This window comes from Homo sapiens, chromosome 15 (genome assembly GCF_000001405.40).
Source record: "Homo sapiens chromosome 15, GRCh38.p14 Primary Assembly".
NCBI lineage: Eukaryota > Metazoa > Chordata > Mammalia > Primates > Hominidae > Homo > Homo sapiens.
Window position 1 is genome coordinate 71,390,260 of NC_000015.10, and position 19,077 is coordinate 71,409,336.

General features: G+C 42.5%; 1 protein-coding gene across 7 annotated transcripts in view, besides 2 other annotated features; it reads left to right on the forward strand.

Moving 5' to 3' along the window:
* Positions 1-19,077, forward strand: part of THSD4 (thrombospondin type 1 domain containing 4) — a 686,490-nt gene that overhangs the window by 293,366 nt on the left and 374,047 nt on the right. The gene's annotated exons all lie outside the window — the stretch shown is intronic.
* Positions 2,228-2,728: an enhancer, noted in NCBI's record as "H3K4me1 hESC enhancer chr15:71684826-71685326 (GRCh37/hg19 assembly coordinates)". NCBI's record gives its function as "activates a minimal SCP1, AML or CMV promoter by ChIP-STARR-seq in primed H9 embryonic stem cells {active_cell/tissue: H9 hESC(primed)}" and the evidence as "EXISTENCE:reporter gene assay evidence [ECO:0000049][PMID:30033119]".
* Positions 2,729-3,229: an enhancer, noted in NCBI's record as "H3K4me1 hESC enhancer chr15:71685327-71685827 (GRCh37/hg19 assembly coordinates)". NCBI's record gives its function as "activates a minimal SCP1, AML or CMV promoter by ChIP-STARR-seq in primed H9 embryonic stem cells {active_cell/tissue: H9 hESC(primed)}" and the evidence as "EXISTENCE:reporter gene assay evidence [ECO:0000049][PMID:30033119]".

The window sequence follows — 19,077 nt, forward strand, 5'->3', positions numbered from 1 at the left end:
TCATATTACACTTTCTGTCTTTTGATGTTATCTGAGTTTCATGGCATTATCTGTTTTTGGCGAACGTCCATATGACTTTAGCTGGACAAGGAAACCAGGAAGGAAATAGGAAACCAAGATGGAAAGAAATATTTCCTTCCTTTACCCTTTTTTACTTAAAGGGTAAAAGTATTGGAAGATTCAGGATTGCATAGATAAGCTGTGGCAAGTTTGACTTTCCTTTACATAAGTCTACAGAGGCTAAATCCAATTTTGGATCTTGTATCTCCCTATGTCTACTTTGTCATATAGCCCTCCTTTGACGTCTAGCCCTCTGAACCCACAGTAACAGGCCTTGAATGTCCTTGATTTAAACTCGTGTCTGCATTTGTCAGAGCTCTGCCCTGAGGAGTAGTTTACCATATTGAGTTACCTAGCAATTTTCCTTGAATCCTGATCTACAGAGTAGAGTTGGAAGGGGAGTAGGAATAACTGGGATTACTGTCAGAAAAAAATCACATCCTTTCATCTCAAATATATTGGGCTTTCAAAGAAAATTTGTCTCTTTTTCCGGGCTCCTCAATTTTTAGGTAATTATGATTGGCTAAATCTTTTTTTTTTTTTTTTTTTTTTTTTGTACAGAGAGGGCCTTGTTCAGTCACCCAGGCTGGAGTGCAGTGACACGATCATAGCTCACTGCACCCTTGAACTCCTGATGCTCAAGGGATCCTCCCATCTCAGCCACCCGAGTAGCTGAGACTACAGGCATAAGCCACCATGCCGGCTAATTTTTTTTTTTTTTTTTTCTGAGACCATGTCGCGCTCTGTCGCCCAGGCTGGAGTGCAGTGGCACAATCTCGGCTCACTGCAAGCTCCGCCTCCCGGGTTCACACCATTCTCCTGCCTCAGACTCCAGAGTAGCTGGGACTACAGGCTCCCGCCACCACGCCCAGCTAATTTTTTGTATTTTTTAGTAGAGACGGGGTTTCACCGTGTTAGCCAGGATGGTCTTGATCTCCTGACCTCGTGATCCGCCTGCCTCGGCCTCTCAAAGTGCTGGGATTACAGGCGTGAGCCACCGCGCCTGGCAACTCATGCCGGCTAATTTTAAAATTCTTTTTGTAGAGACAGGGTCTTGCTATGTTGCCAGGCTGGTCTTGAGCTGCAAGCCTCAAGCGATCCTCCTGCACTGGGCTTCCCAAAGGACTAAGATTATAGGTGTGAGCCACTGCACCCAGACTGGTTGGCTAAATATATCCAAGAGAAAGTAGAGCATCAAGCTTTTGCTACATATTTAAGGTGAAGTCAGGGAACTGAGTCTAGGGAAAAAGCCAGTGTCACACACCTGGCTATATTTATGTTCCGTGTCAGAGGAAGGGCGGGCGACCAGGGTTCATTCCAGGTATCTGAGTCTGTAGTCACACGCTTTCCATTGAATCTGAGTATGCTTGTTAGTGGGAACTTTCACTGAAGGAAAAGAATAGTGAGTCCTTCATTAAGACTTGTGTTTATCAGTGGCTGATGATTGAACTGCAGGAGACGATGGCCTCTCAGAACACAAGAGACTCTCACAAGAAGGAAGATTAAAACTAGGTCTCTGTCCAGATCCAATAACAAAATGAAACTTGCAGGTGGCTGTTTGCAAGAACCATACAGAGGAAGGAAATAGAATAATGAGACCCTCAACAGCATTTCTAGATTTGGCTACTGAGCAGCTGGAGTCCTGAAATGCAGCCAAAATGCCGTGGAACCCATCTCCCTACTCTTCTTCCAGGGATATTTTAACTTGGCCATGTTTCTATGATAATTTTCAGAGAAAATTAAAAGAACAGGCAGCTCAGAAGGGCTCTGACGACAGCCCAAGATCAATTTACTACTTAAGAGCAAGAGAATATGCAAATGAAGCCTTGAGACCACTGGGGACTACTGCCCACCCCCAACTTTTCTGCCAGGGGTTGCCACATATTGATAAATGTCGATATTTCCATGTCTGCAATTCTTATAAAGCTTCCAAATGCAGACATTCCCCTACTTCCCTAGGCATCTAGTTTCACGGGAGAAGAGGTTAACTTTTATTGAGTGCCTGTGCTTTTACAAGCATTCTCTTATTTGATTCACAGACAAATCTTTAAGATAAGCCTTGTCATACCGATTTTGACAGGTAAGAAAAGCAAGGTTCATAGACTTACTTTGTCCAATGACACAAGCTTATTAAGTAGAAGAACTCAGATTCAAACCCAGGTAAGGACTATGCAGAGATCATCCTCTTTCTCTTTTACTTGTATGCCTTTCAGTAGATTCTCCAGTGTGCTAGGTAGTTTGTCTAAAGGCCTAACCATCATCCTTCCTGCCACATTTCTTTGAATATAATTACATTTTGAAGGTTCTAATGAACCCTGAGGGCCTTGGCTATGGAACCATAATGCTGGCAGCAGCTAGTTCTGCAGAGCATCTCTGTGTCTCAGAGAGCTTGAGAGGAAAGCTACACCTCATTTAACTCAATGGCCACCATCCAAATTGTCCCACGGTCAAGAAGCGGGCTGCTTTTCATGTGTCTTCTGTACACACCCTTTGTTCTTCCTTTTTGTCTTTTCCCATCCTTTCCCTTCAAATACCACCAAATACTGTTTCAGCCTGAGGTTTCAATTAGGTTCTGGCACGATGAGCTCATGCCACACTTTGTGTGGCCACGACAAGAACATCCTTCCCAGCGCTTCCTTTGAGAGGGAGCCGGGACTGCTGAATTTGCTTTTCTTGCAGCCACAAGGGAACCTCCGTTTCTCATTTGTTCAAATCCTTGTTTGTCTTTGGGGAAGTGAAATGCTTGCATTTGATTGTGATTGGGATGGATTGACGTCTTTTAAAGTCCTGGGGAGGAATGAAAGCCAAGCTTACTCAGGGGGATTATGCCCCCTGCGTTCAGTTCCAGTTGAATGTGGAGGGCTGCATTCGTTTGGTAAATAGTGGTGGAGGGGCCCGCCCCTGCCTTTTTCTCTCGGTGGTTGTGCATATTTGGACAGAACGTGTTCTGCCTACAGAGAGGGCCTGAAATAGTCTCTCAGCAAATAACTGCGGCCTGAATGGGATGAATGAATGAGGCTGGCAAGTTTCTTCAGGGTCACAGTTTCCATCTTTTGGTAAAAATGATCACTTTCCATACTTGCCATGTAAATCCAATGAGCCTTCATGCAGGAATAAACTCACCACGCTACCAGGGAGAGAGGTGAGCCTTGGTTCCCAGGCCCTTGTAGAATCTCAGGGAAAAGGCTGGAGTCTGGTTGGTGGAATCAGCCCCTTACCCGTGTCCTTTGTGTCTGTCCCTGTGTTTGTGCGTGAGCAGATGGCTCCTACTCTGTCTGGCTTCCTATTTATTTTGTTTTGAAAGCTCCTGGGTGTCTGGGATTGTATCTATTCATCCCCCTCTGTACAGAGGCATGTAAATGAGATTGTTAATTCAATTGAGCAATTGATTAAGCTGTTTTTAGTGTGCTTAGCACTGTCCTAGGCACAGCAGGGAGGCATGAAAGAAGCCCCAGAGGAGTCTCTATCTGTGACCTTGAGCAGCTCCAGGGCCTTCCGGAGCCTCCTATTCTCATCCGTAAAGTGAGAATGTCAGACAGACTAGCTGATTTCTATAAGGAGTCTTCCTGCTCCAAGGTTCTCCGATTGAGGCAATCACTAAGATGGAATGATATGAAATCAGATAAAAATTAAGACCCATTGTAGTTAAGAATATAATTGAGTTACATAGAAAAATGTGTTATTTGGTTGTATCCAGAGTACGGTTGCTTGTAAATAATACAGGATGCCCAGTTAAATGTGAATATCAGATACACAATATTTTTTTTTTTTTACCATATTTAGTAGAAGTATGTCCCATTCAATGTGTGCTGCATATCTGAGATATTTAACTGAGCATCCTGTATTTATTTGGCAGCCCTAATCCAGAGAGATGGTGCAAACTAGACACTTAAAGGTGGGCTTCCCCTCTGGGCTGTCATACACTCTGTTGTCCAAACACATTTGTCTTTTTTTTTTTTTTTTTTTTTTTTGAGACGGAGTTTTACTGTGTTTCCCAGGCTGGAGTGCAGTCGTGCAATCTTGGCTCACTGCCACCTCCACCTCCTGGGTTCAAGCGATTCTCCTGCCTCAGCCTCCTGAGTAGCTGGGACTACAGGCAAGTGCCACCACGGCCGGCTAATTTTTGTATTTTTAGTAGAGACGGTGTTTCACCATGTTAGCCGGGATGGTCTAGATCTCTTGACTTGGTGATCCACCCGCCTCAGCCTCCCAAAGTGCTGGGATTACAGGCGTGAGCCACAGTGCCTGATTGGCCTTTTCACTCCTCCTCCTCCTGCCGCAGAGCATGTGCATAGGCTGGTGCTACTGCTTGGGATGTCTTCCTCCCTACTCCTCCTTCACAGAGCTAACTCCTACTCATCCTTCAGATTTCAGTTCAGTTCAGAAGTCACTTCCTCAGTAAAACCTTTCCTGATACCCTGGACTAAGTCGTTTCTCTATTGTATATGCCCTGGGAGACTTTGCCATCACAGCACTTGCTACAATTTGGCGTTTATACAGTTGCTTGCATTTTTGTGTATTTAATAAAATTAATGTGAGTCCCTCTGACATCTCCACCCGCTTCTACTCAGCACTAGACAGATATTTCTGAACAGATGTCAGTATGAAAGGCTTCCCAGGAGTCGTAGGTCTGGAGCTCAATGCTGAAGGTGGGTTTGTGAAGGCAGATTGGAGAACCAAGGATAGTCTGGACAGGTGAATAGAAGAAACAGAGCCACTGAGGTGGGAATGCCTTTGCTGTGTTTCTGTAACAATGAGGAGAACCATTGAGTAGTTACAGGCCCAGTTGAAGAGGGCGGTGTCCTTGAAACCTGCCTTAGGAGTCGGATGCGGATATTCTGAGGATGGTGAAGGACCGGATGGCTGTGAGGAGAGGAGTAACATGATGAAACATGTTGAAAGTCACTTGTTAGTGGGTTTTATTAAACCCCAAAACGGGGAGCTCAGTAGCCAAGAGCCCTCTGGGAGGCTGCTAAGGGACATGCCGTGAAGGTGACAGAGGACATCCAGTCTAAAAGTCCCCACTGAGCTCCACTGCCCCCCAGGTGCAAAGCCTGTGCTAAGCATGGCAGCTCACAAGGACTGGGCAGAGGCACAGACAATTCTCACTCATTGGTTTCTGCAGTCAAAAGTTGAGACTGGCCGGGTGCTGTGGCTCACACCTGTAATCTCAGCACTTTGGGAGGCCAAGGTGGGCAGATCGCTTGAACTCAGGAGTTCGAGACCAGCCTGGGCAACATAGTGATACCCCACCTCTACAAAAAATACAAAATTAGCTGGGCATGATGGTGCATGCCTATAATCCCAGCTACTCAGGAGGCTGAGGCAGGAGAATCGCTTGAACCCGGGAGGCAGAGGCTGCCAGTGAACTGAGATCACGCCACTGCACTTCAGCTTGGGCCACAGAACAAGCCCCTGTCCCCCGACTCCCAAAAAAAAGATGGTGCGAGCTGGGGTTCCTTGGAGTTTTCCCCTGAATTCCTGGATGATGTCATACCAGAACATTCTTTTGCTGAAGCCATCAAAACTCTCTTCCTGCTACAACCTTCCTTTTCCAGTGTCTCCCAAGTCTGCTTCTCAGTGTTTTGAAGAGAGACACACACACACACACACACACACACACACACACACACAAACACAGACTTTGTTGAGCACATGGCCTGTTGTTCAGGCGTCGGGATTCGCTGAGTGGACCCACGCATTCAAGTGCCAGCCTTTTCCACCTGATGAACCCGTGTGCTTTTATCGCTGTTGAGTGCTTTGGCCGTGTACCAATAGACTCTGAATGAAACGTGTGGATGTGCACACACATATCTACATATACATGTATACATACATGTAGACACATGTATATACATACACACATATGCCCTATAAATACATACTCTGATACACCCACATATCTATACCATATGTACACATGCATACATAATATACACATATGCATGTACACACATAAAACATGTACATGCGTACATATGCACACACACACACACATACCTATACGTATACATACCTATTTTACTGAGATGGTAATAGCAGGGGATAGGAAGTCAAGCCGTCCTCCCCTGGGTATTGCCTGCAGAGGTGCTACCACTTCCTCTGCCTCTGACTTTCTCTGGTTTCCAAGACCTTTACTTTATGTGGCAGTTTGTACCAGAATTCCCTTCCCTGACTTCCTTCTCAAAGCTCTCAACAGCCTCAGTTCCTGACGGGAGAAACCCCAGCCACATCATCTTGCTGGAGGATACGTATCTATTCTGTGTTTTAACACATATATCCGCTCAGATAGTTAGACATTTTCCAAAGCTGTAAAACACCGGCCATGACCTCCCGCTTCTGCTGAAGCTGTCAAGCCGCTTTCTTGACAGTTGGCCAGACTGGCTTACTACTGGCAGAACCCCTTTCCAACTTACTTTTTATTAAATATAACATTTTAAGATGTAACACAACATGTCACACAGCATGAAGAGTTTTGAACGGCATGGTGCCTTTTCATAATGGCATTTGTTTTCAGTCGTTTTTTCCTGCTTTGGATTTAATGTGACATGAGAGAAATAGGAAACATTTCAGAAAAAGGTTGGGTAACTTGGACAAGGTTCACTTAGCCAAATCCCATGAAACTATGTGTCTAGGAACTTTCTACGAACAGGAAGCTACTGCTGTTCCCTGTTCAGGTTTTAAGTGTGCAGGATGCAAGCTGTGGCACTTCCCAGGACTCTAGACAAGTTTTGCTCATTCTTTCTGTGAGAACAATGGTCTTGCATGACCTGGACTGCTGGTTTACCTCTGCAGCCTCACCAGGTATCAGCTTGTGCTTTCTACTTCAGCGATGAGGAATGTCTCCCAGCATCTTGTGTGCTTCGTGGTCCTGGCCTTTGGATATATCTCTGCCTGGAATGTTCCTCCTTCCTCCCCTCCCCTTCACATAATAAACTCCTTCTCCTCTTTCACAGCTATAATTTCACATTTATTTGTGTGACTAGTTAATTCATACCTGTCTTCCCCATGAAATTGTAGTTGCAGGAGGTCAAGGACCTGGTCTCTTTTTAAAATTATTTATTTGGTACTTACTATACTGTCTGGAATAAGATCCTCAATATGTATTTGCTGAGTAAACGAATCCATGAATGAATAAATGTTGATTGTCCCATAAGGGCAGGGACTCTGTCTTAGTAATTTGCTTATTTCTAGATCCTTGCACAGTGCCTGGCCTACAATAGGTGCTCAATAAACATCTGGTGAATGAACAAGCATTGCTTCATACATGGCACCATGCCAGGCACTGTCCTTGACCTTGAGAGGGTGAGCATTTGCTTAGGGAGAGAATATGTACTCAGAGGAAAGAATTAAGAGTTTAATCGGGCACTGAAGGTAGCATTCTAAGTCAAATCTGAATTTGAATCCTGGTGGCTCTACCACTCTCTAGCAGTGTGGGTTTTAGCAAGTTACTTAACCTCTCTGAGCCAAAGGTTTCTCATCTGTAAAATGGGATAGTAATAGTGTCTACTTCTCTAAGAGTGATATGAACTAATACATATGCAGTGTCTCACACAGTACTTGGTACAATGCAAGCACTCTAGCCAGGTTGGGTGTCATTATAATCAATTTAGGAAATCTCTGTGCAATATTTTAAGTGTGGTGAGGTCATTGACAAACAGTATGACTCTAGACAAGTATTTTCACTTTTCTGGGTGTCAGTTTTCTACTGTGTAGTATGAAAGGATTGGGTGGGGTCTTTCCAGCTGTGATGGTCCATGTAGTGCAGAGATAGCAAGATTAGTAGGATATCTTACTTATTAGTAGGATTAGTGGCTATGACAGAGGAAGCTTCCAGAAGTCACATCTGCAAGGTCAGGTAGAATTTATTTAGGCAGAGAATAGAATGTGGGACACGCCAGCCTGGGGAACAGTGTACAAAACCATGGTGGTGGAGAAGGAGCACAGGGCATTTGGGGAAGAGGTGATGGTGGGAGGGTGGTTCTTTAGGAGTGGTGGGAAAGGAGGAGTATAAAGCTACAACAGGTTCTTGAAGGGAGGGTGACCTGAAGAAGGAAGGTTTGGGGAATAATATAGCTTGAGTCAGACAAATGGGGAGAGGGCAGGAAACTTGGAGTCAGGGAGATCAGCTAGGAGAATGTGTAGCTTCTAACACAGGCTGATGAAGGCCTGAGCTGGGATTTGGCAGAAGGAGTGAAAGGGAGGAGGAGAACTCACAATGAATAAATGACATAGCTTGGTGGTAGAGCCAATAATAGGGATTGAAAGAGGTTTCTAGAATGTTTGTTACCATTGACAGAGATGCATCCTTGTCCTTGAGAAAATTGGGTTGCGCTCTAGAAATGTGCATTAGTGATTGGCAACCCAGCAGAAGATTGAAAGCTGGCAGCCAGGGGGTGCAGAAAGAGGGAACAGAAGCAGAGGTTGACAGCCACCTCCCATGTCCAGCACCAGGGCAGACCCATGCAGTTCTGCACAGGTTTCATGCAGCTGATGGGAGTAGGCCAGGGGATTGGGTAGGAGACAGGGGCATGGTGTTAGAAATCCAGAACAGAAACAGAGGCAACTTTCTGGGCCATAGGAGGGAGGCTTCCTTTATTTAACTGGCTGCCCTAGGGGAAGCAGAAAGTCCCCAGGCCCCCATGAGATCCAAGCAGGATGGGAGTAGGTAGGTGATCTGGCCTGCAGCAGGTGACTTTGTTGGGGAGGTATGCCCCAGTGGTGCCATAGCTGTAGCCCATTGGCAGCACAGCACAGCAGTGGGAAGCTCTGCTTGGAGTATCTTTGGGTTCCAGAGTGGAGTAGTGAGGTGGGGGGTGCAGTGGTAACAATGACATTTCAATCACGTGGACCTGTTTACAGCTGAGCTCTACCACTTACCAACCATGTGGTTGTGACCAAGTCACTAAGCTTGTGTGAGCCTTAGGTTCCTTGTCCTCCGTAGGCAAGGATTGGCTGAATTAATTTATATAAAGGGTCTAACATATAGTAGGTGCTCAAAAAACACTAGACATATAAAATTTACAAAAGGTAGGACTAAGCCAGTTACATCCTAATGCCTGCTAAATCCAAATGCAGCTAAAAAGGGAAGAGAAGTTCCTGTCTCCTCTCTGTTTTCTGCACAGCATAGACCATACCTGACAGATCAAAAGGAAACTTCCTCCTTGCAAGGCCTCCTGATGGCTGCAGTCTTCACTGTCTAGCTTTCAAGTATAAAACTAACCTTTCATTTAAGTAGCCAAACATCAATTTTTATGTTAGCTATGGCAGTGCATTCCCAGGGTGTCAGCTAGTAGGCTGGTTACAAGCGAGGTCTCCTTTCTCTATCCTAGTTCAGAAGCATCAGTTAGAGCAGAGGTTCTCCAGGTGTGGCTCCCGGACCAGCAGCACTGGCATCACCTGGGAACTTGTTAGAAATGAACCTTCTTGGGCTCCATACTAGACCTACTGCATCAGAAACTCCAGGGAGTGGGGTCCATGTCCATCAGCCTTTGTTTTAATAAAAGACCCCCAGGTAATTCTGATGTACGTTAGAGTTTGAAAGCCACTGAATCAGAGTGTTGTGGAAAATTAGAACTGTGTTTAAGTATGAGCAGTGCTAAGAAGACTATTGATAGAAAATTGAGCCAATGATTTTTTTTCAGGGTTTAAAAGGGATGTTTTTGTGTGTGATGACACCTCAGTAATGCTGCAGAAAGAAAAACAAAATAAAAATTTAAAAAGAAATTTTTGTTCACTGTTTCTAATCCGGATACCCAAGCCTATTAAAACAGTCAGTAAAGTAAGATTCAGTAGGGCACTTCTAAAGTTTCTAAAGGACATTGCCTTTAGAAATGCCCTTTAAAATATGTTCAGTATTAACTTCTAAAGTTTAAATTCCAAGTGTGGGATGGAAGGTTTGGGGTATTAGGCAATTGATAAGCTGTGTGTTTTTGCATTTAAGCTTTAATAATGGAAAGCGCCCAAAACCTTTTCTTTTTCAGAACAGGAAAAGCTAAGACTTAGTCTCACCCCTCTTCTGACTTTTTCAAAACAGTTTTCTAATTCCAGAGAAGAGCCTGAGCTCTGAGAATCATTCTCCTCATCTTATTTTCCATAACTTTGTCCTGGAAAATGCAGTCTGGGGGAAAGCATTTTAAATAGTAATCATCTGAGTCTAGTCCAGAATTTGGAATCCAAGGGCAGGCGGATACTTTGTCATAAACAGGAGCAATAATACGTAGATAATGCAGTCAGTGGAGGAAAAGTCTGGCGCTGCTGTGGCTCTGACTGCTCCTGGATTAGTTACTAGACCAAATGCTGCAAACTGGTCCATTGCTTTGCTTTGAGCAAGCACCTTATTTTATTTAACCCCTGCATATACACTTAAGACATTGTATCCACATGTTTCTAATTCATTTACACTTCACTCATCAGCATCTGTTGGGTAAGCACCCTGTCACCTCCAAGTTTTATGAGCTGTGTTTACTAGGCTGCAATTCTTGAACAGGGATATCGTATATTCCACAAAAAAAGAAAAAAAAAAAAAGAACTTGAGCCTGGGAAGTGAGGACTTCAGTGCTCAACTTGGAGTGAACTTGTGAAGTTTGAATGGATCTGCAACTAAGCACAGATGTTCCCTATTCTCCAGGAACAGCTTCACATGTTTATGCACAGAATCTCCTCTTTTCGTACCTGAGTTTTTCTCTCCACTGAAATGACAGTGGGAGAATGTGCAATTGTGGGAAAAGCTTGAACCTCGTTTCCTTCCACTTTTTGTCCCCTCCCATCCCTCCCAAAGTCTCTTCTTGGTGACTGAGAGCAAATGCAAACCTATGCAGTAGCAAAGCTCCCTAAAATCCAAAACCTCAACACTTTAGCAATATTTTGCTTCCCTAGAAGGCAGCATTCCCTTTTGCAAGTTTCTTCCACTTAAGCAAAATTCCTAAGAATACAGCAAGAAGTTTTGTAGTTTTTTGTTGATTTTGAATAGAGATGGGAGGGACCTCCCATTATTAATAACTGCACAGAAGGATTTTGTTTCTAAGAACCTGAATTGTTAGTGTTATTTTCTAGATTTTTTTAAAAATTGGTTTTTATTTTCTATTCCACGTTATGTGTGTACATGTTTTATAGAGTCAAATAGTTCTAAAAGTTTGCCTCTTCCCTAATCTTTCCTATTCCTCAACCATTTTAGCTGTTCTTTTGATTTTTACCTTATCTGTAAATAATACTTATATTGTTAATTCTGGGTTTTTACATTTCACATTTGTTCTGTTGAAAATGAAGATCTTCATGAAACAACAGGTGCTAGAGAGGATGTGGAGAAATAGGAACGCTTTTACACTGTTGGTGGGAGTGTAAACTAGTTCAATCATTGTGGAAAACAGTGTGGCGATTCCTCAAGGATCTAGAACTAGAAATACCATTTGACCCAGCGATCCCATTACTGGGTACATACCCAAAGGATTATAATTCATGCTACTATAAAGACATATGCACACATATGCTTATTGCAGTGCTATTCACAATAGCAAAGACTTGGAACCAACCCAAATGTCCATCAATGATAGACTGGATTAAGAAAATATGGCACATATACACCATGGAATACTATGCAGCCATAAAAAAGGATGAGTTCATGTCCTTTGCAGGGACATGGATGAAGCTGGAAACCATCATTCTGAGCAAACTGTCTCAAGGACAGAAAATCAAACACCGCATGTTCTCACTCATAGGTGGGAATTGAACAATGAGAACACATGGACACAGGGAGGGGAACATCACACACTGGGGCCTGTCGTGGGGTGGGGGGATGGGGGAGGGATAGCCTTAGGAGATATACCTAATCTAAATGACAAGTTAATGGGTGCAGCACACCAATACGGCACATGTATACATATGTAACAAACCTGTTAAAGTATAATAATTAAAAAAAAAAAGAAAATGAAGGTCTTGCCCTCTTTCATTATCCTCTCCCTAGACCTCACCATGGATACACACTCCCCATCCTGCACCCTCTCAATATAATTATTGTAATTTAGCTTAGATTAATAACCATTGCTTACAGTATGATGACTATGTACATGCACTTCACACTGGAGCCATGTGATATACTCCCTTAGGTCAGATTTCCAGAGCACTGATCCTAAAGCAGAGATTTGTGCCCAGTGTTCCTTGGGGCACAACACCTGTGATGGATGTGGGAGGCAGGATTGGACAGAGGGGAAGTTGGGCTGTGATGCAGTCACACCAAGGCCTCAGCTTGTCTTACAGGAAGCTCTGAGCAGGGAGAGCCCTGAAGAGTTACCAGCAATTGAGACAGGGTGGGCCTTTGTACCAGAGGACCAGTTGTTAGATGGAGCTGTCCCTGGAGAGGAGGCTTAACCTTGAGGGAGGCAGCTCCCTCAGGCACAGCGCAAGCTCCAGAAATAAACACCTATGAGCCAGCTCCTAACTGCTGGGGGGTGTGACTGACTGGATTGGCAGGTAGGGGTAGGTTATCTGGGCACCATAGTGAAGCATCCACTACATATGCCGTGATTATATTTCCTTTCCTGAAATCTGACTTTCCCTGTTGTTGATTAATACCTTTTGGTTTTTAGTTTGCCTACTTTTCTATATGTACTTCATGCTAATTCAACTCAAGCTCTTCTAAATTGTGTACATCATCTTTCAGTAGCTTCATGTCTCAATATCTTGAAATCTCAATATCTCAAAATGTATTGGGTATTCTACGCATTTCGTCTTGAAGAATTCTCTCCTGGAACTCTCTGACCTGCTCTAGTCTTTTCCTAGTGTACAGCTGTCTTGTTGGGATCTCCTTTCTTCCTAGTCCTGGCCATTCTCTTTGCTTCTTTTTTGGCTTAGATATTCTATCTCCTGGATCCCACACGTTCTACTTTCTTGTTTTACTCCTTTATTGTGGTAGTCTACATCCTCCAATAAGGGTGCATGACAGGTAAATTGCGTGAGAATTGCATTTCTGAAAATGCTTTATTTTCTCCTAAGGATTGATAATTTGACTAGATATAGAATTCTAATTTTGAAATGGCTATGCCTCAAAAATTATAAGGCATTACTCAATTATTGTTCAGCCATCAAAGTTATTGTTGAGAAATCCAATACTATTTTGTTTCTATTCAGGGTGCTTGTATTATCTTTTCTTTGTCCCAGTGTCTTGAAATTTCAAGTGATGTAACCTTCATGAGGGTTTATTTTTATCTATTTATTGGGAGACACTTCTTCATGGGTCTCTTGTACTCTTACAAGTCTTTGGAGTATACCAAGAATGCAAGGCCCTGACCACCCTAAAATTGGATTATTTCTCAGGCTTGTATTTGCAGTGAGCAACCTTGAGGGGTAAGATAAGTCTCCTTTCGGGACAAATAGTAGGGTTGCTTATTGCTTTCAATAAAAGCAGTAGATCTCTCAACTTCAGTGTTCCCCAGCTGCAATACAAAACCACTGTATATGCAGTATCCATGGGCCCTGCCCTTATGCATTGCCCCTATGGGACTTGGGGGCAAGGGAAACTGACACATACTAATGCTCATGCTGCTTGCTCTTTTTTATCTCTCACTCAGAAATCTTCTATCTTCTGTTTGTATCCATGAAACAGTAACAGGATAACTTATTGATTGTAAGTAGGGAAAGATCAAATCCCAGTCCTGACACCATTTTCCTGGGCACTTGATAGACTCCTGCAATCTGGAAACAGAAATTGTCTTATTTATTTGATGATTTCCTGTGAATCTAGAAAACTAATTACTTCTTTTCCTTTTTGTAAAATCACAACTTTATTGAAATAAAATTCATATATGATAAAAGTCACCAACTTAGTTGTTTTAGTATATTCACAATTATATAACTATTATCATGATATGATTGCAAACATTTTCCTTATCCTAAGAAGGAAGCTGATACCTATTAGCAGTCACTCCACATTATCCCCTCTCTTCAGGCCCTGGCAACCACTAATTTACTTTCTTTCTCCATGGATTTGAATATTCTGGGTATTTCATGTAAATGGAATTATGCAATATGTGGCCTTATATGATTTGCTTCTTTTACTTAGCATAATGTTTTGAAGATTTATCAATGTTATAGCATATATCCATACTTTAATGCTTCCTGTTGTCAAATAATATTCCATTGTATGGATATACCACATTTTGTTTGTCCATTCACCAGTTGAGAGACATTTCAGTTTCCCCTTTTTAGCTATTATGAATAATGCTGCTGCTATATCTGAATGTTAGTGTCACCCCAAAATTCAAATGCTGGAACCTAATACTCAATATGATATCATTAAGAGGTAGGACCTTTTGGAATTAAGTCATGAGGGCTCCAATCTCATTAATGGGATTAGTACCCTCATGAAAGAGACTTGAGTAAGCTCCCTTGCCTCTTCTGATATGCGAGGATAACAGCAACAAGGTGCCATGAAGCAGGCAGAGCCTTCACCAGACACTGAATCTTTTGGCACCTTGATGTTGGACTTCCCAGCCTCTGGAACTTAGAAATAAATTTCTGTTGTCTTCTCTTTCTTTCTTTTCTTTCTTTTCTTTCCTTTCTTTTCTTTCTTTCTTTTCTTTGCTTTTCTTTTTTGACAGAGTCTCTCTCTGTCACCCAGGCTGGAGTGCAGTGGCATGATCTCAGCTCACTACAACCTCTGCCTCCCGGGTTCAAGCAGTTCTCCTGCCTCAGCCTCCTGAGTTGCTGGGATTACAGATGTGCGCAACCATGCCTGGCTAATTTTTGTATTTTTAGTAGAGATGAGGTTTCACCATGTTGGCTAGGATGGTCTCAAACTCCTGACCTCAAGCAATCCACCCACCTTGGCCTCCCAAAGTGCTGGAATTACAGGCGTGAGCCACCATGCCCAGCCTTTTCTGTTGTTTATAAATGACATAATCTAAGATGTTTTGTTATAGCAGCCCAAACAAACTAAGCTGTTATGAATAGTTATGTACACATTTTTATATTAATGTAGGTTTTCATTTCTTGTGAGTATAAACCTAAAAGCAGAATTGTTGGGTCATGTGGTAGCTCTATGTTTAACATTTTGAGGAACTGCCATATATTTTAGAGTCCCACTAGCATGGTAGATATGCAAAGTTATCCCACTGTCATTTGTTGCAAACAGTATTTTTTCCCTAATGAATTGTCTTGGCACCTCTGTCAAAAATCAATTGTCCATAAATGTAAGGGTTTATATCTAGACTCTTAAGTTCTATTCCATTGATCTATGTGTTTAGCCTTATGAAAATACCACACTTACTGTTGATTCGTAGTAAGTTTTAAAATCAGGAAATATGAATCCTCCAGCTGTTTTTCTTTGGTCCCTTGCATTTTTGTGTGAATTTTAGGATTACCTTCAGAAAAATAAGAGGGCATTTGGTAGTTTGTATTGAATCTGTAGATCAATATGGGGGAGTTTGCCATCTTAACAATGTTAAATCTTCAGATCCAAGAAAATGTGATATCTTTCCATTTGTTTAGATCTTCCTTAATTTATTTCAACAATATTTTGAGGTTTTCAATGAATAAATCTTCTTTAATTAAACTTGTTCTTAAGTATTTTTATTCTTTTTAATGCTGTTGTAAATTGAATTCTTTTTCAAATTCATTTTCAGAGTACTCATTGATAGTAAATAGAAATACAATTAAGAGGTAGGGTCTCACTATGTTGCCCATGCTGGTCTCGAACTCCTGGCCTCAAGTGATCCTCCTGCCTTGGACTCCCAAAGTTACAGGTTACACGCATGAGCACCGTCCCTGGCCCTCAAAGTATTTTCTAATTTTCCTGTGTTTTTTTTTTCTTGATTATTTAGGAGTATGTTGTTTAATTTCCATTATTTAAAAAGTTACCAAATTTTTTTCTGCTATTTTTAATTTCATTCAATTGTGGTCAGAGAACATACTTTTCATTATTTTGATATTTTAAAATTTATTAAAGTTTATTTTATAGCCTAACATTTATTCCCTCTTGGAGATGTTTCATGTGCACTTGAGAAGAATGTGTATTCTGCTACTGTTGGGAGGAGTATTCTATAGCTAGCTGAGTCTAATTGCCTTATAGTATTGTTCAAGTATTTGCTATCTTTATTGATCTTCTATAGATGTCTCAGTCTAATTGGTTTATAGTGTTGTTCAAGTATTCTATTTCCTTATTGATCTGCTGTAGATATCTAAGACTAATTGGTTTATAGTGTTATTCAAGTATTTCCATATTGATCTTCTGTCTCATTGCTCCATTTATTATTGAAAGTGGGATATCAAAGTTTGAAACTACCGTTGTATTATTGTCTATTTCTTCTTTCAGTTCTCTCAGGTTTGTTTGGTGTGTGTGTGTGTGTGTGTGTGTGTGTGTGTGTGTGTGTGTGTGTGTGTGTTTGAAATGGAGTCTTGCTCTGTCACCCAGGCTGGAGTGCAGTGGCATGATCTCGACTCACTGCAACCTCCGCCTCCCGAGTTCAAGCAATTCTCTTGCCTCAGCCTCCCAAGTAGCTGGGATTACAGGCACATGCCACCAAGCCCGGCTAATTTTTGTATTTTTTTTTAATAAAGATAGGGTTTTGCCATGTTGGCCAGGCTGGTCTCGAACTCCTGATCTCAGGTGATCAGCCCACCTTGGCCTTCTAAAGTGTTGGGATTACATGCATGAGCCACTGTACCCAGCCTGTCAGTTTTTACTTTATGTATTTTGGGGCTTGGTTGTTATGTCTTCCTGATGGATTGACTCTTTTATTATTATAAAATGTACTTTTCTCTAGTAACAATTTTTGTCTTAAAGTCTACTTTGTCCAAAATATTAGTAGAGCTACTCTAGCTGCCTTTTGCTTTTATGGAAGAGTTGATTTTCAGAGGCACTGATAACCATTCTGGAAAGCAGAACCTCTAACTACTTCTTACAACTCTTAGAGATAGTTGTCCCGGTTTTAGGTCTGCTTTCTCCCCCATTTCCAAAGTTACCTTTTGGAGACTCCGTAATGCTGCGTAGCTTTGCTGCTTTTATTGCTGCTTAGGATCAGCTTTCTTGGGTCGGCTAAGTCATTACAATGAGTCCTTCTGCTTTCCGGTTTCCTAAATTTTGTAACCGTTAACTCCTTTTCTATTTTCTTTTTCTTTTGAGTTTATTACTTTTTAAAAACTCTTCACTATTATATCAATGGCTTTTCCAAGGAAACAAAATTCAAGAGTGATTTAAATCTTTAACTTGTATTCGAGTGTAAACTTTTAGCTTTTAGTTGCTTTACTCTTAGTAACCTAAATTTTCTTGTATAGTCACCAGCATTTTTTTTTTTCATGGTCAGAGGGCTTTTAAATATCAGGGCTCCAAATACCGGGTAATATCCTAAATTTAGAGTACCTATATTTGGGGTTGTATTATCTTTTAAATTCAGGCGTGGGATCTGAATATCTTTGATTCAAAATAAGAGTCAGCTGCTTCCAAGTCGGCTCACTGATTGATTTTCCTTAGAGCAATGATTCCCAAACTTGACCATGTCCTAGACCTCATCCCCAGAGTTTCTGATCCAGGATGTCTGGGGTGAGGCCCAAGAATTTGCATTTTCAGCAAGTACGCAGGTGATGCTGGTGCTGCCAGTCCCAGGACCACAGTAGGAACCACTGCTTTAGTGTGTGGACAGGATGCTAGGTGAAATGTTCCTTTTGGAGGCAGGGAGGACATTCAGGAAACAGATGAGGACAAAGAAGGAGAGAAACAGAAGTTTGTGCCCACTTCCTCTTGCTCCCAGCTTGTGGCAACCCTTGTGTTTTCCCACTTTCCCTGCACCAACAAAACCTGACAAAATCTGCTTAGAGAAGAGTCTCCTGGCATCAGAATTGTACTTTACTTAAAGGCAAAAAAAAAAAGAATAAAGTGAATATCCATGCAAAACCTTAATTTGAAACCCTTCAAAGGTTGTTGTTGTTGTTTTTGAAATGGGATCTTGCTCTTGCTCTGTCATCCAGGCTGGAGTGCAGTCGTACAGTCACAACTCATTGCAGCCTCAAACTCCTGGGCTCAAAGGATCCTCTCACCTCAGCCTCCTGAGTAGCTGGGACTACAGGCGTGCACCCTCACGCCCACCTAATTTTTAATTTTTTTGTAGAGACAGGGTCTCATTATGTTGCCCAGGCTGGTCTTGGACTCCCGGGCTCAAGCAATCCTCCTGCTTCAGCCTCCAATAGTGTTGGCATAACAGACATGAGCCACTGTGCCCGGCCCAAATGCATTCTTATGAGGAATTTTAAAGGAGGTGGGGGCTGGGGGCAGAGGCTTATGCCTGTAATCCTAGCACTTTGGGAGGCCGAGGCAGAAGGATCACTTGAGACCAGGAGTTTGAGACCACCCTGGGCAACATGGCAAAACCCCATCTCTACAAAAAATACAACAATTAGCTGGGTGTGGTGGTGCATACCTGTAGTCCCAGCTACTCGGGAGGCTGAGATGGGATGACGGCTTGAGCCTGGGAGGTCAAGGTTGCAGTGAGCCAAGAACGCACCACTGCACTCCAGCCTGAGTGATAGAACAAGACCCTATCTCACACAGACACAAGGGTTGGGGGCAGTGGGTAGGAAGTCTATGCAGGGTCTAGAGAAGTCATTACATAATTTTATGAGAAGAACTAGGGTGTTCTCTAAGGCAACAGGATGCCAGGTAGTTTTGTTAAGAAGTCCCTTGTCCTCAGGTTTATTTATCTCCTAGCTGCAGATCGGAGAAGGTGGACCCAGTGTCCCCAGTGTCTACTGGTGGGAGGAGCCCAGAGTTAAGGCCATTCCTCTGGGTTCCTTTCTTGTGGCCATTCGGAGATTCTGCTGTAATTGTCTCACGTTTAGCTTTTTTTTTTCCCCCCCCCTCAGAATGTTCTTCTGCAGTATGGTTGCAAATATTGAGGAATAAAATTCTGGCCCCAAAAGATAGTATCTCAAAAGATACAGATAGTTGGGAGGAAGCCAAGAGAAGTGAGGACCCAAAACCCTTGCCCAGATGAGGCTGCCTTTCACAAACACTTGGATTACTTACAATGC